The sequence below is a fragment of the Homo sapiens genome, chromosome 7 (genome assembly GCF_000001405.40).
Source record: "Homo sapiens chromosome 7, GRCh38.p14 Primary Assembly".
Lineage (NCBI taxonomy): Eukaryota > Metazoa > Chordata > Mammalia > Primates > Hominidae > Homo > Homo sapiens.
This window is the reverse complement of record NC_000007.14, coordinates 48,595,446-48,621,653: the sequence shown is the minus strand read 5'-3', so window position 1 is coordinate 48,621,653 and position 26,208 is coordinate 48,595,446. Positions and strand designations below refer to the sequence as shown.

At 39.3% G+C, this 26,208-nt stretch overlaps 1 protein-coding gene across 11 annotated transcripts in view, besides 1 other annotated feature; it reads right to left on the bottom strand.

The window, feature by feature from the left end:
* ABCA13 (ATP binding cassette subfamily A member 13) overlaps positions 1-26,208 on the bottom strand; it is a 476,040-nt gene that overhangs the window by 25,844 nt on the left and 423,988 nt on the right. For 10 of the 11 annotated variants that reach the window (XR_926914.3, XR_926915.3, XM_011515130.3 and 7 more), the window contains one exon: positions 6,277-6,369. Coding sequence is in view for 8 of the 11 variants with exons in the window: in XM_011515130.3 (XP_011513432.1) it covers positions 6,277-6,369 (93 nt within the window). In the remaining 3 variants the exon portion in view is untranslated. Of the gene's footprint in view, positions 1-6,276; positions 6,370-26,208 lie in introns of those variants that run through there. The other variant, XM_047419919.1, reaches the window with a different exon arrangement.
* Positions 14,003-14,503: an enhancer, noted in NCBI's record as "H3K4me1 hESC enhancer chr7:48646747-48647247 (GRCh37/hg19 assembly coordinates)". NCBI's record gives its function as "activates a minimal SCP1, AML or CMV promoter by ChIP-STARR-seq in naive H9 embryonic stem cells {active_cell/tissue: H9 hESC(naive)}" and the evidence as "EXISTENCE:reporter gene assay evidence [ECO:0000049][PMID:30033119]".

The window sequence follows — 26,208 nt, the reverse complement described above, 5'->3', positions numbered from 1 at the left end:
ATCAAAAAAATAATTTAAGGAACTATAACAAGAAGATCTAGAGCTTGAGAAGAGCATAGGACACCAACTTAGTAAATAATGAATGTAGAATTTGGCAGTATTAAACCTCCTGGTGAACTAAAACCTAAACATTTCAGGACCACACATATCCTCTTTATTGTGGTACCCCTGGGTTTTCAGACACCAAGACCTCCAGGACTGGACTGGTTGTCATTGCCCTCATATTTTATCTCCTAAATCACATGGATACTTGAGCATATCGCAAAAGTAGGACTGATAAAAGACAAAGTCTGTGCTCTCTAGGAGCAGAACACTGAATTGGAACGAGGTAAGATTGTGGATATTAAACACTCTACGAACAGATCTTTTGGCAGGCAGGATGCAAACTTATGCCAAAGAAGAGGAAAAGATTATTGCTATAAAGAAAAAAACACAAGCAAAGGGAAGAAAATGCCAAGCAATGAAAAAGCCAGAGAAGTCTCAAGGAAAAAGGAAGAATCATCCTCGGTGTCTGTGGGTGGGAGTATTGTGTAATCAGTGATGGGGAGTGGTCCAAGCAAGGTGTTCAAGTGAGAACAGGCACTGAGGTGGGGTAGGGATGTATTTAGAGAAGCATGAGAAAGCACCTGAGTGATGCTGGCCTGCAGAGTTGCAGCTCCTCTCAGGACCTCTGGCTTTCCACTATGACTTCATACATCTCATACTAGGGCTGTACTAAGACTGAAAGGAGAAGAGGGCACTCCTTTCTCATGGATCTTGGACTTCTGCAAAATGAGATCACTCCACAGCCCAGAGTGTTTGCCTCTGGTAAGACAATGCCCTGTGTGCAACGCCCTCTACCCATCCTTGTGCCCATTTGCTGACATCCTCCTACTTCATACACCTGCCTCCTCTTAGCCACTGAGCAGGACACGTTTCAGATCTGGCCATAGGAAAGACAGGGTTGACTGCCTAATGTTTTTGGAATCTGGTCTAACTATTATTGTAACTAGGTTTCCTAGTGTGTTCCATGTCTCTGGGGACATAGAACAAAGTAACAGCTGAGACAGTGGTTCTCACCCAGGACAATTTGCTGCCCAAAAGACATTTGCCAATGTCAAGAGATATTTTTAGTTGTCACAATTGGGGTGAGGGTGCTGCACAGGCCAGGGATGGTGCTAAACATCTTACATGCCCAGGACAACCTCCCACAACCAAGAATTATCCAACCCAAAACGAAACAGTGCTGAGCTGCAGAAACGAAGTTAAGACCATGAAGCCGAGGGTTGCTCAAGGAACATTTAAAATGGTCATGCTGCTTTTACTTAGCCTGAGGATTTTCTTTATTTTTCATATTGAAATCTAAACTTTGCTTTGACTGGTATCTGTCCCTCTTACTTGCTCTCAAATTCCAATTCTGTAGTGATTTTTTGTTACTAAATACAATCCAGAATTAAATCCCCTTTTAACCAAATTTTACCTGTACTCCAGGTCTAAGATATTTCGCTATTTCCTCAAACTAAAAAAGGCCTCCTCCTCCTCCTCCTCAGAGCTCCATGTGGAGACAAAAGTGACTGCATCATGGATGCTAATCTACCACATTGACTTCTGGTTAGCCTAGGCCCGCAAATGCCTCCTGATTCCTACTTCACTTCCTGTCCTTCCTGTAAGAACAAGTGCTCCTGCCTTTAGATCAAGGCAACCCTTAAGTTATTGCACAAATGATAGCCCATAACGCATGAAAAACTCTTGCCTGTTATGGAGGGGTGTCTTCAATTGTCTCTCTAGGGTAGGTGCCCTTTCCCTGTGATATAAGAGCCCTGGGTCTGGGGAGTAATGTTGCAGAGGTCTACCTGTCTTGCTGCTTCCCAAGACCACACTTCCATTCATAAGTGACCCCAGGAAATCGCCCTTTACCAACAAACTGGATGTGTCTTCCTCCTTCTTTGATTTCTCGGCTTTTCCTGGGTTTGGAGGCCACTTGGCATATATGACACTTTCACGGAACACTCTAGTTGATACCTTTTCTATGTTGCCTGCCCTGTTAGGCCTTGTGATGTCACCGGGCATGTGCCGGACTCACTCTCTGCACTTGTGAGTACCAAAGCAGGCATAAACTGCATCAGACCTACCTCTGCATGCCCTTGCTGGGTTTCAATAAACATTTGTTAAAGAAATATTAAATGTCAGAAGCAAACAGCCTCAGTTTTACGAGCAAAAGATCTAATATTGATTGACTTTTCTTAAATTGTGACTCAGGTAAGAAACAACATCACAGTTAACATAACAACTTGATATCAATGGATAGACATACACACTAGATAGTGGCCTATTGCATTTTTTTTTCTCAGAGGCCCTTCTCCATGGATGATTGGTACAGACCGGTCACAGAGAGCTTTAGGTTATCCATAGATCAGGGGTCCAAGGAACTTGCTTTTTAATACAACTCTATAATCTCAAAGTGTTTGGAAATTCACTATGTAGATAATAGCTCTGAAACAAGCTATTAAAGATTCCCAGGAAGAACAAAAGTCTGTACCAAGGAAGAGAAGGGGGACTTCAGAACCCTTGGCACAGCCAGAGCTCCCTGCCTTCCTCTGCAAAGTGGGCAAGCCTGGCTTCCTCCAGGCAGGCAGAATGTGATTGGCCCTGCCCTTATGGCTCCACTCAGCCTCAGTGAGTCCTGGAGTGTGTGTATTAACCATGCCTATTATCTTCTGTATTCTAATACTTTGAAAAAGTGGGGACTTGCTGACTCTGGAAGAACTGCCCCTCCCAGAGCTAGCCAATTCCTAAAGATAGTAAACAACTTGCAAATAAATTCACTTTTTCAAATACAAACCAGCTGACCCAGAGCACACATCATCTCAAACACCTCCTCTAAGGGGCTCTCACATGTTAAGCCACAATCCACCTCCCCCAGTCACCCCAGGCACAGGTACTAGACAACTAGGGACAACCCCTATGCTGCACAGCCCACTAAAGTTATTCAAAGTAGCAGATCCTAGGCCTGCTTGCCCTATTTCACCCCTTCCTTCCAATAGAAATCACAATAAAATCCCTTGCTCAGGTTTCCTTCCAGCTGCCCTCTGCCTCCTGGCTGACCTGATGCTCCCTCATGGGACCCTGTGTGCCATGCCCCTATTATTGGAAACTGTAATACATGGTATTTTCAAAGGCAGTCGTTTCCTGATCTATTGGCCTTATTGTACTTCAATTTTTCTATTAACACACTATATTTTAAAACAGTGGGCTAAGGATGAGGTCAGTCCAGGAATGAAGCAGGATGCTGGGGTGTTAATGCTCTGTTAGGAGCATGGGAATGGGATTTGGTGTCCTCTGCGGAAACCCTTCTCAGATGGTGAAGTGCATGTACCAAGGTTTTGCTTAAGACCCAAGAAAGCAACTCAAATGAGCACAGCAGGAAGGAAGAGAATCAGAGCAGAGTCAGGCATGGGTTTACGGGGCTGACTGAACCGACAGAGGGTGGGAAGGAAAGACAGTGCCACCTGCAGATTGGGGTAGAAAGTGATCCCTGTGCTTGGGTCTTACTCCCCAGGCTCAGGAAGGTGGGATGAACTCAGGGAGCCCAGGTGGGGTCTGAAGTCCCATGGAAGAGCTGTTTCTCATCTGAGGCCCCATTTCTCTGAGGGCTGTGCCTGGGGCAGAGAGTGAGGTAGGAAAAGTTCTTTGGTTTGGGAAATTTCACTTCACTTTCTATTTTGTTTTTTCCTCTTATGTATCTGTCCCTACTTGCCACGGACATTCTTCCCTCTATATTTCTGTGGCTCCTCATTTTTCTGATCCTTACATTCCTTTTCCACTTTCCCCACTTCACCCTGAAAAATGGCTGCTTTGTCCGAGTGAACTGACGTAGCAGGTGCAAGCCTCAGCTTCCTGTCACGGGCGAATTTGCTGAGACCTGCACTGAAGGGTTCCCGACTGTTCATGAGGTCAAGGTCAGCACTGCAATTCAGAAGCTAAAGGTGACTAAACCCTCGTGCTCTCCTGGCTTCACTCCACTAGGCTCTCATTGCAGGCTCTTGTTGCACCTGCCCCTCCCAAGGGGAGCTGGTCTCTGAAGCCCAAGCCCTGCCCTCTGGGTCCCCCCTCTGTGGGATTTCTGTAGCTCCTCTCTTCCGTTCTCCCTCTGGGCAGATGTCTCCCAGCCCAAGCCTGGGACCCTCCTCACCAGCCTCCTGCCTCTCCACGGGGAAATCCTGACACCCAGATCCCTGCCCAAATTCAGCCATAATCTTCCCTCCAAAACCCTCGCCTTCTCCTGAGTTATCTCCTCAGAACCTCTTCCCTCACCCAGACCCTACTCTTCCTTATTCACGTTCCTAACAATTCATGTTCATGGAAAGAAAGGGATGGAGAGGAGGAGGAAGGAGACCCACTACAAGTTCTCTCATCCATCTCAACACCTCCACGTCAGAGAAATGGGTTCTGATGTTGCTAACTCCCAGGTATGGATGCCGAAGTTTATGAAAAATCTAGTTATTGTTACCATCTATGTCATGATCAATCCTTTATTCTTTATCTCAATATTATAGAAACAGGCATCATCATGTGTTTGTTTATTATAGGTTTATAGTTATAGGAGAATAAGCATTTTACAAATTATTTTATTTTACTTTTTAATTGTTTTCTGACTCTGTCACGCAGGCTGGAGTGTAGTGGCACAATCATGGCTTACTGCAGCCTCGATCTCTTGGACACAACTGATTCTCCTACCTCCTAAGTAGCTAGCACTACAGATGCACCCCACCACACCTGGATATAATTTTTTAAAATTAATTTTTAAAAAATGTTTTGTAGGAATGAGGTCTCACTATGTTGCTCAGGCTGGTCTCAAACTCTGGGCCTCAAGTGATCCTCCCACTTCATCCTCCCAAAGTGTTAGAATTACAGGTGTGAGCCACCATACCCGGCCACAAATTATTTTTTAAATTTTATTAAGTTTGATGTTTCAGTGAATAACCCACAAGCCATTTCTTGTTTAATATAGTCCTACAGTTCATATCCACTAACAATTCATGCTCAACCCATATATCACATTATGGGAACCCAAACTCCGAAGTAGGCACAGATTTTCCAGTATGTAGAATGCAACAGCTAGAGAAAACCTATCCCCATGTGCTTCGTCCTGCTGGCTCTTGTGGGAAACTTTTGTAAACATAAATCAGACATAAATCACCCAACAATCAAGAATGGGTTATAAAACTTTATGTAGGCATTCATAAAGGTTGGAGACCATGAAATATTATTTTTCTTTTGATGATACTTATTAAAGATGGGCAGAGTACATACCGAGAATAGTTTCCAGTAGGTGCATCTGACCAGTGGTTGACCCGAAGCAGCAAGCAACTGTGAGGCTGACCATCCCAGCAGTGCCTAACTCTAAAAATGGACACTCACTCCCTACTATGTCATCTCAATCCTGAGCATCAGCTATTTTCTCCATAAATTAAAAGTATTTAAAATTTACATATGACTATTTACCAAATCTCTGCTTGAGAATCCTAACCTTAAAAACACTGAATAAATGAAAATAAGAGATTTATCAACATAAATGAATAAATTATTCTACATAGAATGACAGGTTAAACAAATCAAAGGAAAATTGGACGTGTATTTAGGCAACTTTAATTTTTTTAATGTTATACCAGGATGTAACAATGCTCACACAAATTGATAACAAAATTATTAAGATTCCAAAAAGGAAATAAAGAAAATACATGAAGAGAATTAACCAGGAAGAAATATAAAGGATCAATGAGCACAGGAAAGAAGTCTTTAGTCTTTCATAATCCAAATGGAAAGCAACCATAACAACCCTCTCCTACCCTTATAAATTGATGGTCTTTTTCAAAAGGATAGTGTTTGGTAGGATAAAATGGGAACTTTGATTCACTGCAGATGAGGGACATATCAGCACAGCCTTTTCATAAGGCATTTTGTGTGTAAAGAGGACATTTTGTGTCCTGTCATCATCTTGACTCTGCAATCTTATTCTCACCCCTACCAATGTCACTACAAGGAGGGAGCAATGTCTACCTGGCAAGAGAAAAGCAAAATGTCTCCCTTACAGGGAGAACACTAGACTGTGTTTGGGAGTTGCTATGTGTTTGACTTACTAGCCACAGTATTTTATCCCCTCAGAGCCTTCATCTCCTATTTTATGCCAGCAGGTAATTGGAACATACTTGCCTCTAAAGCATCTCCAGTCATAACCCTGCATCATGCTATTGATTTCATAGTAAATATCTAAGCAAAAGGAGAACTTCAACGCACCTATTTTTGATGTGCTGAGGAGAACCAAGACATTTGAAGCTGCCGTTAACCATTATGGCCAGTCTTGTGCAAAGAGCCTCACACTCCTCCATGCTGTAAAGAAGGAAAAGAGACAAAAATGAGCCATTTCCTGAAGAGGGGAGGGTTGAGTCAAACTTTTCAAAACAAAAAGGAGACAAGATACCATTAGGGCAAATTACTTAATTTTTTTACACAGAAATCTCATGGTAACCAAATCAAAAGCTTTTGAAAACAATAAGGTTTTATTTAGACAGCCAATTTTACAATTAACAAAAAATCAGTATTTTCTTTTTTATTTATTTATTTTTTTATTTTATTATTATTATACTTTAAGTTTTAGGGTACATGTGCACAATGTGCAGGTTTGTTACATATGTATACATGTGCCATGCTGGTGTGCTGCACCCATTAACTCGTCACTTAGCATTAGGTATATCTCCTAATGTTATCCCTCCCCCCTCCCCCCACCCCACAACAGTCCCCAGAATGTGATGTTCCCTTTCCTGTGTCCATGTGTTCTCATTGTTCAATTCCCACCTATGAGTGAGAACATGCGGTGTTTGGTTTTTTGTTCTTGCGATAGTTTACTCAGAATGATGATTTCCAATTTCATCCATGTCCCTACAAAGGACATGAACTCATCATTTTTTATGGCTGCATAGTATTCCATGGTGTATATGTGCCACATTTTCTTAATCCAGTCTATCATTGTTGGACATTTGGGTTGGTTCCAAGTCTTTGCTATTGTGAACAGTGCCACAATAAACATACGTGTGCATGTGTCTTTATAGCAGCATGATTTATAGTCCTTTGGGTATATACCCAGTAATGGGATGGCTGGGTCAAATGGTATTTCTAGTTCTAGATCCCTGAAGAATCGCTACACTGACTTCCACAATGGTTGAACTAGTTTACAGTCCCACCAACAGTGTAAAAGTGTTCCTATTTCTCCACATCCTCTCCAGCACCTGTTGTTTCCTGACTTTTTAATGATTGCCATTCTAACAAAAATCAGTATTTTCTTATACCAGGAAGACCAGCTATAAAATATATAGGAGAGAAGCATTTAGCAATAGTACAAAAATACAAAATAAGAATAATCTTAACAAAGCAATGTGAATGTTTTATGAAAAGAAACAAGGAAGCCTTACTAATAGGCACAAATGAAATATTGAATCAATGGAAGGAGGCATGGAAGAAAAGAAAAGAATGGATATTTTGAAAATGGAAAAACTGTTATAATATGAAAATTAGTGTAATATAAAATAATATTAATATGTTAGTATAAATATTAAATATTACCTTAAGTGTAAACATAAAACATAAGTAAATTAATTATATGTAAAATATAAATAAGTTGTATTTTAATATGGTGCATAATATAAAATATAATACCATAAATAACATTTTAATGTGTAATTATAATTTAAATTATATTTTGACATTTCAATTTGAAATATGTTACAAAATTGGTAATCTATAATTATATTATTATAATAATGAAAATATATTATAATACAGATATAGTAAATCTAATCAAAATTTTACATTTATCACTCCCATGAGAAAATTTTAAAATAATTATAAAGTATACCTTTAAAATTACTTAGTGAAAGGAAGAAAAAAAATGAAAGAGGAATCATGAAAGAAGACTTGCTCCAGAAAACATAAATATTTTCTATACAACTAAAATAATTGCAATTCAGTAATACACTAAAGAATTACAAGGAACAAGATGTTACTATCTTATATACATAATGATTTGAATATGGGAAGATATTTTCTAAGCAGAAAAGCAATGGAAGAAGCTATTAAGGGATTTGTAGTCGTTGTGTCTTAACACAGCAAACTAGCATTAAAAAATTCCAGCCAGGCGTGGTGGCTCATGCCTGTAATCCCAGCACTTTGGGAGGCCGAGGTGGGTGGATCACCTGAGGTCAGGAGTTCGAGACCAGCCTAGCCAACATGATGAAACCCTGTCTCTTCTAAAAGTACAAAAATTTAGCCAGGTGTGGTGGGGGGCACCTGTAATCCCAGCTACTCAAGAGGCTGAGGCAGGAGAATCACTTGAACCCGGGAGGCGGAGGTTGCAGTGAGCCGAGATTTTGCCACTGCACTCCAGCCTGGGTGAGAAGAGTAAGACTCCATCTCAAAAAAAAAAGAAAGAAAAAAATTCCAATAGACCTACTGGGTAGAGGTTGATATACTTACTATAAAGAACTAATATATGTTAGTTTAAAACAAAATAATAAAAATATAATAGAGAAAAAAGGGTAAATAACATGTAGAGACCATTCAAAGAACTGCTCGTGGGTAATAAACATGCCAACAAATTATAAAATATAAACCATTAAATCAAATTGATTTTAAAACTATTTTCTTGCTGGAAAAGTGTTCATGTGTACTTTTGTGTATTGTAGAGAAAAACGAGGGGTTTTTATTTCCAATCGTCACTTCAAAAACAATGAGTTCTCAAATAAAAAAAAAAATACCCAGAAAGTTAAGGCCATTTTCTCAGTAATTCTCAATATGTCATCTCATATATTGCTGGTGGGAGTAAAAATTGGCATAACTTTTTGAACACCAATTTGGCAGTAATTACTTTCCTAAGAACTTACCCTAGAAAACACTGAAAATATAAATGCATGTAACAACTTATTTATAATAGTAAGCATCTGGAAACAGGTTAATGTTTCACAGTAGGAGAATATATCACTCATTTAAGTAAGAGTTCATCCATGTGTTAGCTATTAAAATGAGGTTCACTAAAGTCAATTAATCACATGGAGAAAAGTTCATAGTATAGCAATGGTAAAATGACAATGTGTATTCAGAGAATTGCACAGGTATGTTAAAAAACTACCTAGTAAGAAAAACACACAAAAAAGTATGACTGTCAATATCTCAAAAATGAAATTAATGATGGATTTTCTTTACTTATTTTACCATTTTGCATAACCAAATGCTCTACAGGAAGCATGTGTTATTTATATTATTGGAGAACAGTCATAAAGCAGTCTCCTAGGTGGGTTAATGGGCATTCAGATCAAGATATTTCTCAGCCTTCCATGCACCTCAATGTGGACATGCAACAAACTCAGCTCAATGGAATGCACAATTTCTGGGTCATGTTGAAATACAGCAAGCCACTTGACCTGGATTTTGTTTTTCTCCACTTCCCTTGAGCTAGGATGTAGATACGGTGCTGATGAGTCAACATCAACCATGATGATGGTGATGGTGGCACGGTGGAAAGAACCCAAGGCCTTGGTTGGCCTGATGATGCACAGCCCACTGACATGAATTTAGCGAGAGGAAAAAATGTGTCTTGTCTGGGCCACTGTAAGTTGAGGTTTCTTTGTTATAGTTGCTTAGCATGAAGTCCAAGAGATACATGTCATAAATTTTCCAAATATGCTTTATATATTTTCCTGTACAAACACATATTTCTTTAATTAATTTCAATTTAAAAGTAATCATCTTATGGGTGCACTGTAGGTACTCTAATTAAAGAGGTAGAATGTTAAGTCACTTATATATTAGTTTCTTAAACATAGTTCAGACAAGTGGAGGTCTGATATGGTTTGTGTTGGTGTCCCCACCAAAATCTCATATCAAATTGTGATCACCTGTGTTGGAGGAGGGGCCTGGTGGGAGGTAACTGGATCATGGTGACCGATTTCCCCCTTGCTTTTCTCATGATAGTGAGTTCTTGTGAGATCTGTTTGTTTAAAAGTGTGTAGCACTTCCCCTTTCACTCTCTTCCTCCTGCTCTGGCCATGTAAGACGTGCCCACTGCCCCTTTGCCTTCTGCCATGATTGTAAGTTTCCTGAAACCTCCCTAGCCATGCTTCCTGTACAGCCTGTGGAACCGTGAGCCTGTTAAACTTCTTTTCTCTATGGCAGTGTGAAAAGAAACTAATACAGAAAATTGGTACAGACAGAGGGGCATTGCAATAAAGATACCTGAAAATGTGAAAGCAGCTTTGGAACTGGATAATGGGCAGAGGTTGGAACAGTTTGGAGGGCTCAGGAGAAGATGGGAAAATAAGGGAGTTTGGAACTTCCTAGAGGCTTGTTAAATTGCTGTGACCAAAATGCTGATAGTGATACAGACAATAAGTCAAGGGTGAGGAGATCTCAGATAGAGATGAGAAACTTATTGGAAACTGGAGCATAGTTCAGTTTTGTTATGCATGAGCGAAGACATGATCTGAAATTAAAATTTTTATTTAAAAGGGAAACAGAGCATAGAAGTTTGGAAAATTTGCAGCCTGACATCATGGTAGAAAAGAAAAACACATTTTCTGAGGAGGAATGGCTGAAGAAATTTGCATAAGTAAAGAAGAGCTGAATGTTAATAGCCAAGACAATGGGGAAAATGCCTCAAAAGCATTTCAGAGACCTTCTAGGCAGCCCCCCTCGCATCATAGGCCTGGAAGCCTAGGAGGGAAGAATGATTTTGTGGGCTAGGCCCAGGGCCCCACTGCCCTGCATAACCTCAGGACACTGCTCACTGTGTTGCAGCTGCTCCAGCTCCAGCCATGGTTAAATTGTCCCAGATAAATCCCAGGCTACTGGTCCAGAGAGTGCAAGCAGTAAGCCTTGGTGGCTTCCACATGGCAGTAAGCCTGCGGATGCACAGAGGGCAAGAGTTGAGGCTTAGGAGCCTCCACCTAGATTTCAGAGGATGTATGGAAACACCTGGCTGTCCAAACAGAAGTCTGCTGCATGGACGTGGCTCTCGTGGAAAACCTCTACTAGGGCAGTGTAGAAGAGAAATGTGGGATTTGAGCACCCACACAGAGTCCCCACTGGGGCAGTGCCTAGTAGAACTGTGAGAAGAGGGCTACCACCCTCCAAACCACAGAATGGTACATCCACTGACAGCTTGCACTGCGCTCCTGGAAAAGCCACAGGCACTCAATGCCAGCCCTTGAAAGCAGCCTTGGGAGCCGAGCCCCACAGAACCACAGGGGCGGAGCTGCTCAAGGCCTTGCAATCTACCCCTTGCTTCAGTGTGGCCTGAATGTGGGACATGGAATCAAAGGAGATTATTTTGGAGCTTTAAAATTTAATGACTACTCTGCTGGGTTTTGGGCTTGCTCAGGGCCTGTAGCCTCTTTCTTTTAGCTGATTTCTTCCTTTTTGTTCAGGTGTATTTGCCCAATGTCTGTACTCTCATTGTATCTTGGAAGTAACTAATTTGTTTTTTATTTTACAGGCTCATGCAGAAGGGCCTTGACTTTTCTCAGATGAAACTCTGGACTGTGGACTTTTGAGTTCATGCTGAAATGAGTTAAGACATGGGGGAATCTTGAGAAGGGATGATTGTGTTTTGCAGTGTGAGAAAAACATGAGATATGGGAGAGGCCAGTTATGAAATAATATGATTTAGATTTGTGTCCCTGCCCAAATATCATGTCAAATTGTAATCCCCAATGTTGGTGGAAGGGCCTGGCCGGAGATGATTTGATCATGGGGCAGGTTTCCCTGTTGCTATTCTTGTGATAGTGAGTGAGTTCTCATGAGATCTGGTTGTTAACAAATGTGTAGCACCTTCCCCTTGACACTCTTTCTCCTTCTCTGGCCACGTAAGATGTGCTAGCTTCAAAAAATAAACACAAAATTTCCTGTATGGCTGGATAATCTAATTAGTACAGAAATATGGCTAGGCAATGCAGATATTTCAGGAGTTATATTGGAATTCATGATGTTGGATGTGTGAGAAAAAAGTAGTGTTGGTCATTCTTGATTATACTGATTTCAACTCCCTTAGTAAGAAAAGTAGTACGCAAGGTTCTTATCCTCAGTTTCCTGCTCCATGCTTTACCAAGATTCCCTGGGGTAAGGAACCAGAAGAGGCAATGATAAATAAACTCAAAATTCAGGGGAAAATGTCCAATACGAGACTTTTTTTCAACAAAGTCTGCCATTTTAGAATCACAGGATAAATCATAAGCTTCCCCACTCTTCATCGACAGTGAGTAATTTTGACCTTTGTACTGCATGGATATGGACAGATTTATGGAAATGAATATATATATATTTAATGTGAAACCAAATGAATAGGAGGATTTAAAAGAGAAATTGCAATGATATGCAGTCTTTCTGAGAACAATCTAATAATTATATGAGAAATAAATGAAATTTTTGTCATGACACCAGTTTATCCAATCTTAGAACCTCTGCATGAACATGAAGGCTCATGTTCTCATGCCAGCAAACTCCAGCAAAATAAATACAAGAATGTAGAGAGTTTCTAGAACTGGCAAAGCAAAATGATCGTTTTAAGTAAACACATGTATGCATTATGATAAAGTAGAAGGTTTATCAAATTTAATTCATTTCAATGTAAAATTTTATTTTCTGAAGTAAAATACAAGAAAAACAACAACAACAACAACAAATCCCAGGGTAGGACTTCCAACTAGGGTCAAATGAAGAAACTGGTAAATTGTTTTCTCAAAAAGCAATGATGAATCTGGACAAAATTAACAAAAATAGCCATTTCAAAATTCTGAAAATTGAACAAAAAGCATACCACAATCTAAGAAGCACTTTTAGCTGACAAATTGCTAAACTTAGGATAAGAAGACTGATAATCAGTGGCATTCCAGCCATAGGCTGCTCCCCACTCTCCCTAGTTTCGAAAACATGCAACTACTGGCAGGAAGGGCAGACCATGAGGATCAGCAGCTTCTCTGCCCCAGCTGAAGAGGATGCAAACAATTTGGACCATTGGGTAATGCCCAGGTCCAGTGACACTGTTGATATACCTGATTATTTGGGAGCCAAACAAACAGAAAAAGCCAATTCCTCCAGTATCTGGCCTCTACTAGACTGGAATTACGTGGATGTAGCATGCATATAGCTGCGGCTGCATGTATGTGCAGCTGAGATTGGAGAGGGCCCAGGCCAGCCACATGTTCTTTGTGAACCCAGAGGCTGTCCACATGCACATAGGAGAGACACAAAAGGAGCCAGTAAAGTTAGGCTAACATGAAAATAGCCTGAACTTCTAATTTCTTCACTACCCACACACAGATACATTTGCAAAGACAAAAACCTTGTTGGCCTCAGGTGGTTGAGCACAACTTGTGCCCAGTCACTCACTAGCAACTAGCCTATGCATAAACAGAGTGACTCCTATGAGCCAGTCTTAAAAAACAAACTGGCTGGGCATGGTGGCTTATGCCTGTAATCCCAGCACTTTGGGAAGCCGAGGTGGGTGGATCACCTGAGGTCAGGAGTTCCAGACCAGCCTGACCAACATGGTGAAACCCTGTCTCTACTAAAAATACAAAATTTAGCTGGGCATGGTGGCAGGCGCCTGTAATCCCAGCTACTTGGGAGGCTAAGGCAGGAGAATCACTTGAACCCACAAGGCAGACGTTGCAGTAAGCAGAGATTGCATTGCTGTACTCCAGCCTGGGCAACAGAATGAGACGGTCCAAAAATAAAAATAAAAAATAAGAAAATGAGTAGAGGAGTAGGTAGCTACTCACTAAAGGAGAGTTTTCACAGATTTATCTCAGGCAAATAAGTAAGACACAAACACAAAATAAACAAATAAACTTTTTACAAATTGGCAACAATAACCACCACAGGGGAGGGAGAATCAGAATCCAGACCTGCTACAATTATCTAAAATGTGCAGTTCTCAATATAAATTTTTAAGGCATGCAAAGAAACAAGAAAGTTTCTCCCCATAACTGGGGAGGAAAAAGCAGTCAAAAGAAATTGTTCATAAGTGTTCTCAGATGCTAGATTTAGAAGAAAAAATTTAAATGCAGCTATTATAAACATCATCAAAGAACTAACGAAAACCAAGTTTAAAGAATTAAAGAGAGAGCTGGCAAGATGGCCGAATAGGAACAGCTCCAGTCTGCAGCACCCAGAGAGATCGACGCAGAAGGTGGGTGATTCTGCATTTCCAACTGAGGTACCCGGTTCATCTCATTGAGACTGGTTGGACAGTGGGTGCAGCCCATGGAGGGTGAGCTGAAGCAGGGTGGGGCATTGCCTCAACCGTGGAAGTGCAAGGGGTCAGGGGATTTCCCTTTCCTAGCCAAAGGAATCTGTGAGAGACCGTACTGGTAGGAACGTGCACTCCGGCCCAGATACTGCGCTTTTCCTGTGGTCTTTGCAACCAGCAGGCCAAGAGATTTCCTCCAGTGCCTGGCACCTGGCTCAGCGGGTCCCACCCCCACAGAGCCCAGCAAACTAAGATCCACGGGCTTGAAATTCTTGCTGCTAGCACAGCAGTCTGAGGTGGACCTGGGATGCTCAAGCTTGGTTGGGAGAGGGGCATCCGTCCTTGCTGAGGCTTCAGTACGCGGTTTCACCCTCAAAGTGTAAACAAAGCCCTCAGGAAGTTCGAACTGGGTGGAGCCCACTGCAGCTCAGCAAGGCTAAGTGTCTCTCTAGATTCCTCCTCTCTCGGCAGGGCATCTCTGGAAAAACGGCAGCAGCCCCAGTCAGGGACTTATAGATAAAACCCCCATCTCCCTGAGACAGAGCACCTGGGGGAAGGGGTGGTTGGGGGTGCAGCTTCAGCAGACTTAAACGTCCCTGTCTGACAGCTCTGAAGACAGCAGTGGTTCTCCCAGCACAGTGTTCGAGCTCCGATAAGGGACAGACTGCCTCCTCAAGTGGGTCTCTGACCCCTGTGTATCCTGACTGGGAGATAGCTCCCGGTAGGGGCTGACAGACACCTAATACAGGAAAGCTCTGGCTGGTATTTGGTAGGTGACCCTCTGGGATGAAGCTTCCAGAGGAAAGAACAGGCAGCAATCTTTGCTGTTCTGCAGCCTCCACCACTGACACCCAAACAGGGTCTGGAGCGGATCTCCAGCAAACTCCAGCAGACCTGCAGCAGAGGGGCCTGACTGTTAGAAGAAAAACTAACAAACAGAAAGGAATAGTATCAACATCAACAAAAAGGACGCCCACTCAGAGACCACATCTGAAGGCCACCAACATCAAAGACCAAAGGTAGATAAATCCATGAAGATGGGGTGAAACCAGAGCAAAAAGGCTTGAAAATTCCAAAAACCAGAACACCTCTTCTCCTCCAAAGGATCACAACTCCTCGCCATCAAGGGAACAAAACTGGATGGAGAATAAGTTTGACGAACGGACAGAAGTAGGCTTCAGAAGGTGGGTAATCACAAACTCCTCCGAGCTAAAGGAGCAAGTTCTAACCCAATGCAAGGAAGCTAAGAACCTTGAAAAAAGGTTAGATGAACTGCTAACTAAAATAATCAGTGTAGAGAAGAATATAAATGACCTGATGGAGCTGAAAAACACAGCAAGAGAACTTCGTGAAGCATGCACAAGTATCACTAGCTGAATTGATCAAGTGGAAGAAAGGATATCAGAGACTGAAGATCAATTCAATGAAATAAAGCAAGAAGACATGATTAGAGAAAAAGAGTGAAAAGAAATGAAGAAAGCATCCAAGAAATATGGGACTATGTGAAAAGACCAAATCTACATTTGATTGGTGTACCTGAAAGTGATGGGGAGAATGGAACCAAGTTGGAAAACACTCTTCAGGATATTATCCAGGAGAACTTCACAAACCTAGGAAGGAAGGTCAACATTCCAATACAGGAAATACAGAGAACACCACAAAGATATTCCTTGAGAAGAGCAACCCCAAGACACATAATCATCAGATTCACCAAGGTGGAAATGAAGGAAAAAATGTTAAGGGCAGCCAGAGAGAAAAGTCGGGTTACCCAAAAAGGGAAGCCCATCAGACTAACAGTGGATCTCTCTGCAGAAACCCTACAAGCCAGAGGAGAATGGGGGACAATATTCAGCATTCTTAATGTACAGAATTTTCAACCTAGAATTTCATATCCAGCCTTTACAGACAAGCAAATCCTTTACAGACAAGCAAATGCTGAGAGATTTTGTCACCACCAGGGCTGCCTTACAAGAGCTCCTGAAGGAAGCACTGAACATGTAAAGGAACAACTGGTATCAGCCACTGCAAAAACATACCAAATTGTAAAGACCATCGATGCTATGAAGAAACTGCATCAACTAACAGGCAAAATAACCAGCTAGCATCATAATGATAGGATCAAATTCACACATAACAATATTAACCTTAAATGTAAATGGGCTACGTGCCCCAATTAAAAGACACAGACTGGCAAATTAGATAAAGAGTCAAGACCCATGGGTGTGCTTTATTCAGGAGACCCATCTCATGTACAAAGACACAAAATAGGCTCAAAATAAAGGGATGGAGGAATATTTACCAAGCAAATGGAAAGCAAAAGAAAGCAGAGATTGCAATCCTAGTCTCTGATAAAACAGACTTTAAACCAACAAAGATCAAAAGAGACAAAGAAGGCCATTACATAATGGTAAAGGGATCAATGCAACAAGAAGAGCTAACTATCCTAAATATTTATTCACCCAACACAGGAGCACCCAGATTCATAAAGCAAATTCTTAGAGACCTACAAAGAGATTTATACTCCCACACAATAATAGTAGTAGACTTTAACACCCTACTGTCAATATTAGACAGATCACTGAGACAGAAAATTAACAAGGATATCCAGGACTTGAACTCAGCTCTGGACCAAGCAGACCTAACAGACATCTACAGAACTCTCCACCCCAAATCAACAGAATATACATTCTTCTCAGTACCACATCATGCTTATTCTAAAATTGACCACATAATTGGAAGTAAAACACTCCTCAGCAACTGCAAAAGAACGGAAATCATAACAGTCTCTCAGACCACAGTGCAATCAAATTAGAACTCAGGATTAAGAAACTCACTCAAAACCGCACAACTACATGGAAACTGAACAACCTGCTCCTGAATGATTACTGGGTAAATAACAAAATGAAGGCAGAAATAAAGATGTTCTTTGAAACCAGTGAGAACAAAGGCACAGTGTACCAGAATCTCTGGGACACATTTAAAGCCGTGTGTAGAGGGAAATTTATAGCACTAAATGCCCACAAGAGAAAGCTGGAAAGATCTAAAATTGACACCCTAACATCACAATTGAAAGAACTAGAGAAGCAAGAGCAAACAAATTCAAAAGCGAGCAGAAGACAATAAATAACTAAGATCACAGCAGAACTGAAGGAGATAGAGACACAACAAATCCTTCAAAAAATCAATGAATCCAGGAGCTGCTTTTTGAAAAGATCAACAAAATAGACAGACTACTAGCCAGATTAATAAAGAAGAAAAGAGAGAAGAATCAAATAGATGCAATAAAAAATGATAAAGGGGATACCACCACTGATCCCACAGAAATACAAACTACCATCAGAGAATACTATAAACACCTCTATGCAACTAAACTAGAAAATCTAGGAGAAATGGATAAATTACTGAAATAATATACACCCTCCAAAGACTAAACCAGAAAGAAGTCAAATCCCTGAATAGACCAATAACAAATTCTGAAATTGAGGCAGTAATTAATAGCCTACCAACCAAAAAAAGTCCAGGACCAGACGAATTCACAGCCAAATTCTACTAGAGGTACAAAGAGGAGCTGGTACCATTCCTTCTGAAACTATTCCAATCAATAGAAAAAGAGGGAATCCTCTGTAACTCATTTTATGAGGCCAGCATCATCCTGATACCAAAACCTGGCAGAAAAAGAACAAAAAAAGAAAATTTTAGGCCAATATCCCTGATAAACATTGATGCGAAAATCCTCAATAAAATACTGACAAACTGAATCCAGCAGCACATCAAAAAGCTTATCCACCACAATCAAGTCAGCTTCATCCCTGGGATGCAAGGCTGGTTCAAAATATGCAAATCAATAAACATAATCCATCACATAAACAGAATCAACGACGAAAACCACATGATTATCTCAATAGATGCAGAAAAAGCCTTCGACAAAATTCAACAGCCCTTCATGCTAAAAACTCTCAATAAACTAGGTATTGATGGAACATACTGCAAAATAATAAGATTATTTATGAAAAACCCACAGGCACTATCATATTGAATGCGCAAAACCTAGAAGCATTCTCTTTGAAAACCAGCACAAGATGAGGATGCCCTCTCTCACCACTACTATTCAACATAGTGTTGAAAGTTCTGGCCAGGGCTATCAGGCAAGAGAAAGAAATAAAGCATATTCAGTTAGGAAAAGAGGAAGTCAAATTGCCTCTGCTTGCAGTTGACATGACTATATATTTAGCAAACCCCATCATCTCAACCCTAAATCTCCTAAAGCTGAGAGGCAACTCAAGCAAAGTCTCAGGATACAAAATCAATGCGCAAAAATTACAAACATTCCTATATACCAATAACAGACAAACAGAGAGTCAAATCATGAATGAACTCCCATTCACAATTGCTACAAAGAGAATAAAATTCATAGGAATACAACTTACAAGGAATGTGAAGTACCTCTTCAAGGACAACTACAAACCACTGCTCAAGGAAATAAAAGAGGACACAATCAAGTGAAAAAAACATTCCATGCTCATGGATAGGAAGAATCAATATCATGAAAATGGCCATACTGTCCAAAATAATTTATAGATTCAATGCTATCCCCATCAAGCTACCACTGACTTTCTTCACAGAATTGGAAAAAAAAAACCACTTTAAATTTCATATGGAACCAAAAAAGAGCCCGCGTAACCAAGACAATCCTAAGCAAAAAGAACAAAGCTGGGGGCATCACGCTACCTGACTTCAAACTATACTACAAAGCTATGGTAACAGAAACAGCATGGTACTGGTACCAATACAGATATATAGACCAAGGGAACAGAACAGAGGCCTCAGAAATAACACCACACATCTACAACCATCTGATCTTTGACAAAACTGGCAAAAACAAGCAATGGGGAAAGAATTCCCTATTTAATAAATGGTGTCGGGAAAACTGGGTAGCTATATGCAGAAAGCTGAAACTGGATCACTTCCTTACACCTTATAGGAAAATTAACTCAAGATGGATTAAAGACTTAAATGTAAGACCTAAAACCATAAAAACCCTAGAAGAAAACCTAGGCAATACCATTCACGACATAGGCATGGGCAAAGACTTCATGACTAAAACACCAAAAGCAATGGCAACAAAATCCAAAATTGACAAATGGTATCTAATTAAACTAAAGAGCTTCTGCACAGCAAACGAAACTACCATCAGAGTGAACAGGCAACCTACAGAATGGGAGAAAATTTTTGCAATCTTTCTATCTGACAAAGGGCTAATATCCAGAATCTACAAAGAACTTAAACAAATTTACAAGAAAAAAAGAAACAACCCCATCAAAAAGTGGGCAAAGGATATGAACAGACACTTCTCAAAAGAAAACATTTATGCAGCCAACAAACATATGAAAAAAAGCTCATCATCACTGGTCATTAGAGAAATGCAAATCAAATCCACAATGAGATACCATCTCAGGCCAGTTAGAATGGTGATCATTAAAAAGTCAGAAAACAACAGATGCTGGAGAGGATGTGGAGAAATAGGAACACTTTTGCACTGTGGGTGGGAGTGTAAATTAGTTCACCAATTGTGGAAGACAGTGTGGCAATTCCTCAAGGATCTAGAACTAGAAATACCATTTGACCCAGCAATCCCATTACTGGGTATATACCCAAAGGATTACAGATTATTCTACTATGATGACACATGCACACATATGTTTACTGAGGAACTGTTCACAAAAGCAAAGACTTGGAACCAACCCAAATGCCCATCAATGATAGACTGGATAAAGAAAATGTGGTACATATACATCATGGAATATTATGCAGCCATAAAAAAGAATTAGTTCATGTCCCTTGCAGGGACATGGATGAAGCTGGAAATCATCATTCTCAGCAAAGTAACACAAATCAGAAAACCAAACACCACATGTTCTCACTCATAAGTGGGAGTTGAACAATGAGGACACATGGACACAGAGAGCATCACACACCGGGGCCTGTTGCGGGGGTGGGAGGCTGGGTGACGGATAGCATTAGGAGAAATACCTAATGTAGATGACAGGTTGATGGGTGCTGCAAACCACCATGGCACATGTATACCTATGTAACAAACCTGCACGTTCTGCACACATACCCCATAACTTTAAGTATAATAATAAAAAATAAAAAGAATTAAAGAAAAGTCTGACAACCACATTAGTAAGTGGGGATTCTGAAGAAGGGGATAAAAATTATAAAAAAAATAAATCAGTTAAAGATTACAAGAAATTAAGGAAAAATTCACTAGAGGGGTCAACACCAGATTCAAAATGGCAGAGGAGTCAGTGAACACATAGATCAATAAAGATTATCCAATCCAAAAATAGAAAAAAACAAGACTAAAAAAAATGAGCAAGAACTCAGACTTGTGCGATAAGATCAGAGTTTCAACATACACGTAATGGAAGACCAAAAGAAAAGGAAAGATAGATAGGACCAGAAAAAGTATTTGAGTAAATAATGGCCAAAATTTTCTCACATTTTTCATATGGACAGATATGCGTCAGAAATGACAATTGTATGGATTACTATTTAAGACTGTGGATATGTCTTTTTGATATATTTTCTTATCTTCTTTAAAAGATTTAAAAGTGTATAAAGTGAAACTTAAAATATGCCTTATTGGATTTATAGCATATAAAATGCAATATATATGGTAATAATAGCACAAAGAAAAAGGGAGGAAATAGAGCCATATTAGGGCAAGATTACAACACTTTTCTAGAATTAAGTTAGCATCAAGACGTATACTATCATCCTTAGACTAGCCAGTAAGAACATAACTAAAAAAAATAGATAAAACATTAAATACAGTATACTTCAAATTATTCATTTAATATATAAGGCTGCCAAGTAGAAACAGATACAAGAAACACAGGAGACATTATGTAAAAAATAGCAAAACAGTCAATGTTACTTCAGCCATATCAATAATTACATTAAATGTGGGACAGTTTAAATACCTCCCACAAAAGGCAGACATTGTCAGATTGGGAAAAAAAAAAACAATATCCAACTATACACAATCTATAGGAAACACTCCTATTCAAAGACACAAATTATTTGAAAGTAAAAGAATATGAAAAGATATACCACACAAACATTATCCAAAAGACAGAGGCAATGGCTATTTTAAGAAACAAAATAGGATTTAAGATAAAACATACTGCTAGAGTAAAACAGAGACATTTCATAATGATAAGAAAGTCAAAATATTAGTATGATAGCAATTAAGAATGCATATTCACCTAACTACACAGACTCCAAATATATGAAGCAAAAACTGACAGAATCTAAAGAAGGAAAAGAAAAATGTAACAATTATACTTGAATATTTCAATATCTTATTTTCAGTAATTGATAGAATACCCAGGAAAAAATTCCCAAGAATACAGAATACTTAAACAACACTGTCAAGCTAACTTGCTGACTTGCTGTATATACAATATTCCATCCAACTACTACAGAATACATATTCCTTTGCATAGACAATTCTCTAGGATAGACCATATGTTAAGCCTGGAGTAAAAAACTGCAGCCCATTGGCTAAATCCAGCCTGCCACCATTTTGTGGGGGATGGGGGAGAGGAACAAATAAAATTTTATTGGAATACAACCACAATTATGCATTTACCTAATACTGGTGGAAGCTTTCACACTACACAGTGGAGTTGGATACTGCAGTACACACCATACGACTTGCAAAACCAAATACTCAGTAATGGGATTGCTTGGTCAAATGGTATTTCTAGTTCTAAATTGATAAACTGAATGTAATCAAAATTTAAAATATTTGCACTTCCAAAGACATTATTAATAAAATGGAAAGACAGCCATAGACTGGAAATACATATTTGCAAATCATTTATCCAGCAAGGGACTTCTATTCAGAATATAGGAATATCTGCTACATAAAAAGAACTATTACAATTCAAAAATAATAGATAAAAAACAATTAAAATATGGTGTTTTATAAAAAAAAAACTGTAACCCCTCTGGTAGGCCATTAAAAAGTCATAACAAATTTAAAATGATGGAAATCATACAACTTATTTTATCTAATGACAACCAAATTAAATCAGAGATGAATAACAGAAAAAAAAATCTCTTAAAAATCTCCCAGTATCTGAAAATTGAATGACACTTCTAAATAAACTAAGGGTCAAAGAAGTAATCACAAGAGAAATTGAAAAATATTTCAAGATAATGAAAAATTTTATAATAGAAGGAAAAAGCTGAAGGAATAACACTTACTGTTTTCAAAACTTAATAGAAAACAACCATAATCAACATGATATTATTGGGTGAGAAAATAAGCATACATATCAATGGATAATAATTGAGAGTCCAAAAATAAATCATACAATAAATAATATAATAAAGGTGCTATGACAATTCAGTGGGATAAAAGATAATCTTTTCAAGGAAGAGTGCTGAAATAATTGGATATTAACATGCATAAAAGTGAATTTATATCCTTTTCTCATACTATACACAAAACTTAGCTTGAAATAGATCAAAGACTTAAATATAAGAGCCAAAATTCTAAAATTTTTAGAAAAAAAAGATAGAAGAAAATCTTTAGGACTTCATTTGAACAAATAGTTCTTAGATGAGACACCAAAAGCACAAACCATATAAAAATAAATTGATAAACTGAATGTAATCAAAATTTAAAATGTTTGCACTTCGAAAGACATTATTAATAAAATGGAAAGACAGCCATAGACTGGAAATACATATTTGCAAATCATTTATCCAGCAAGGGACTTCTATTCAGAATATAGGAATATCTGCTACATAAAAAGAACTATTACAATTCAAAAATAATAGATAAAAAACAATTCAAATATAAAGGATCCTTACAAAAATTAACATACTCTTACCATCCGATCCAGCAATCACATTCCTTGGTATTTACCCAAAGGAGTTGAAAATATGTTCACACAAAAAACTGCACACGGATCCTTAAGCAGCTTTATTCAAAATTGTCAAAACTTGGAAGCAACCAAGATGTGGTTCAGCGGATGAGTGGATAAATAAGCTGTAGTACATCCAGATAGTGGAATATGACTCAGGACTGAAATGAAATGAGCTATCAAGCCATGAGAAGACATGGGAGAAACTAAATGAAAAAAGTCAACCTGAAAAGACTACATACTATATGATTCCAACTATATGGCATTGTGGAAAAGGTAAAACTATGGAGACAGTAAAAAGATGAGTGGTTACCAGGGGTTAGGCAGGAGGGAGAGATGAATAGGTGGAACACAGAAAATTTTTAGGGCAGAGAAACAATTCTATCTGATACTATAATGGTGGATTCTTATTAGATATTTGTCCAAACCCATAAAATGTCCAACATCAAGAGAGAACCCTATGTAAATTGGATTGGGGTGGTAATGTGCTGTCAATGTAGGCTCATCAATTTTAATAAATGTATCACTCTGGTAATGTATGCTGATAATAGGGAAGGATATGCATGTGTGAAGGCAAGGAGGGATTTAAAAAATTTCTGTACCTTCCTCTCAATTTTTCAGTGAACCTAAAACTATTCTAAAGTATCAAGCCATTTTTAAAAAATGGAGGATGGAGGAGATATTGGAATAAAAATTTCACTAAAGAAGTAATACAAATAACCAATAGGCACATGAAAAGATTCTAACAGCGTTAGTCCTTAGGAAAATGTGAATTAAAACCCCACTTCACTAGGATGCCTATAATGAAAAAAGACAGACAGTAGTGACAAGGATGTGGAATAAAGGAGACTCATCATTGTTGCTGGGAACATATACTGATAAGGCCAATTTGGGAAATAACTCTGCAGTTTCTTAAAGTCTCAAATACAACTTACTATTCAATCTAGCAACTTGACTCAGAAAAATCTAAAAAAATTAAAACATGTCTATACATACAAAGACATTTATATGACTGTTCATAACATATTATTCATAATAGCAAAACACTGGAAACAACCCAAATGCTTATCAACTGGTGAATGGATAAATAAAAGTGGTATAGCTATAAAATGGGATACCGTTTGGAATGAAAAGGAGCAACCTATTGACATAAAACGCAATGGATAGCCTTTAAAAGTGTTGCCATAGGCCGGGCATGGTGGCTCACGCCTGTAATCCCAGCACTTTGGGAGGCCCAGGCGGGCGGATCACAAGGTCAGGAGATCGAGACCATCCTGGCTAACACGGTGAAACCCCGTCTCTACTAAAATACAAAAAATTAGCCAGGCTTGGTGGCAGGTGCCTGTAGTCCCAGCTACCCGGGAGGCTGAGGCAGGAGAATGGCGTGAACCCAGGAGGCGGAGCTTGCAGTGAGCCAAGATCGTGCCACTGCACTCCAGCCTGGGTGACTGAGCAAGACTCTGTCTCAAAAAAAAAAAGTGTTATGATAAATAAAAAAAAGAGATGCAGCAGACTACTGATTATATGATTCAGTTAATGAAATATCCATATAAAGCAAATTTACAGAGGCAGAAAGCCATCAATGTTTTCCTAGGTGGAGGTTTTGAATGCTAATTTTTTTGTTGTGGTTGTTGTTTTTGAGACGGAGTCTTGCTCTGACGCCCAGGCTGGAGTGCAGTGGCCCGATCTTGGCTCACTGCAAGCTCCACCTCCCGGTCTCATGACATTCTCCTGCCTCAGCCTCTTGAGTAGCTGGGACTACAGGCGCCCGCCACCACGCCTGGCTAATTTTTTGTATTTTTAGTAGAGATGTGGTTTCTCCATGGTCTTGATCTCCTGACCTCGTGATCCGCCCGCCTTGGCCTCCCAACGTGCTGGGATTACAGGCATGAGCCACGGCACCTAGCCTCAAATGCTAATTTAACTGAAAGTAAGCATGAGAAAATTTGGGGGAGGTGACCCAAATATTCTAAGGCTTATTTATGGTAATATTTGCACAAGTCTATAAATTTACTAAAGAATCATAGAATTCCATACTTACAGTGGTTAAGTTATATCAAATGTAAATTATACTTCAGAAAATGGCATTTAAAAAAACAACAGTGTAAAGTTTAGTCTGGCAGTGAAAATTGGGGAATGTTAAGCAGTATAGACAAACCTATCAGTGAATGAATTTTTTTAAAAAAGAAAGAGCCCAGAGATAGAAAATTAAGAAAAGTCTACTTTGACATGAAGCAATGTGAGAAATGTGTGAATGGCTGAGTTCTTCACAATACATTGGCTTTGCAGCCAGTAACACTTGTTACAGGAAATGGCTGTAAGATTTATGTGTAATAGGATTATGCATGCTGAGTTATAGCATTTAATAGTATTTTTACGTAAACTAATAATGCTGCAGTAATCAGTAAAGTCTCCTGAGGTCCTCTCAGAAATCTCACGTTTCAAATGATAGGGCTAGCTTTATATTTCACTCCTGGTAACAAGAGCTGGGGTACTCAAGCATAGACTGAATGATTTAGACTGTTGGGAAGCATGTTTCCATGGGTCCCTTGTGTTCCTACGTGTCTTGCCATGAATTCCAAGAATATAAGGCCCTAACTGCTCTTTAACTGGGCCATTTCTCAAAGTTATGCTAGTAGCAAACAACCATGGAAGAAGCGACACCTCCTCCCAAACGAAGGGCTGGCTTCCTTATCAGATGTTATAAGGTAGTAATTTCACCAGATTTGGCATTCCTCTCCTCTGTGTGCAGGCATCCATTAGTCCAATAGAAACTGGGGTTTAGGGAACCAATGAGAAACCATGCTGACACTCTGGCTACTGTTCTTGCTGTGAGCAATAAAGTCTTTCATCTCCGACCCAGAAGTCTCATTTCTTCTGTCAACATCCATAAAACTGTATCAAGCTAAATTTGTTAGCTTGCAAAAGGGCAAAATGTGAGATCTTTGGCAGCTCTTGACATCTTATTCACAGTATATTTTACTTAAACAT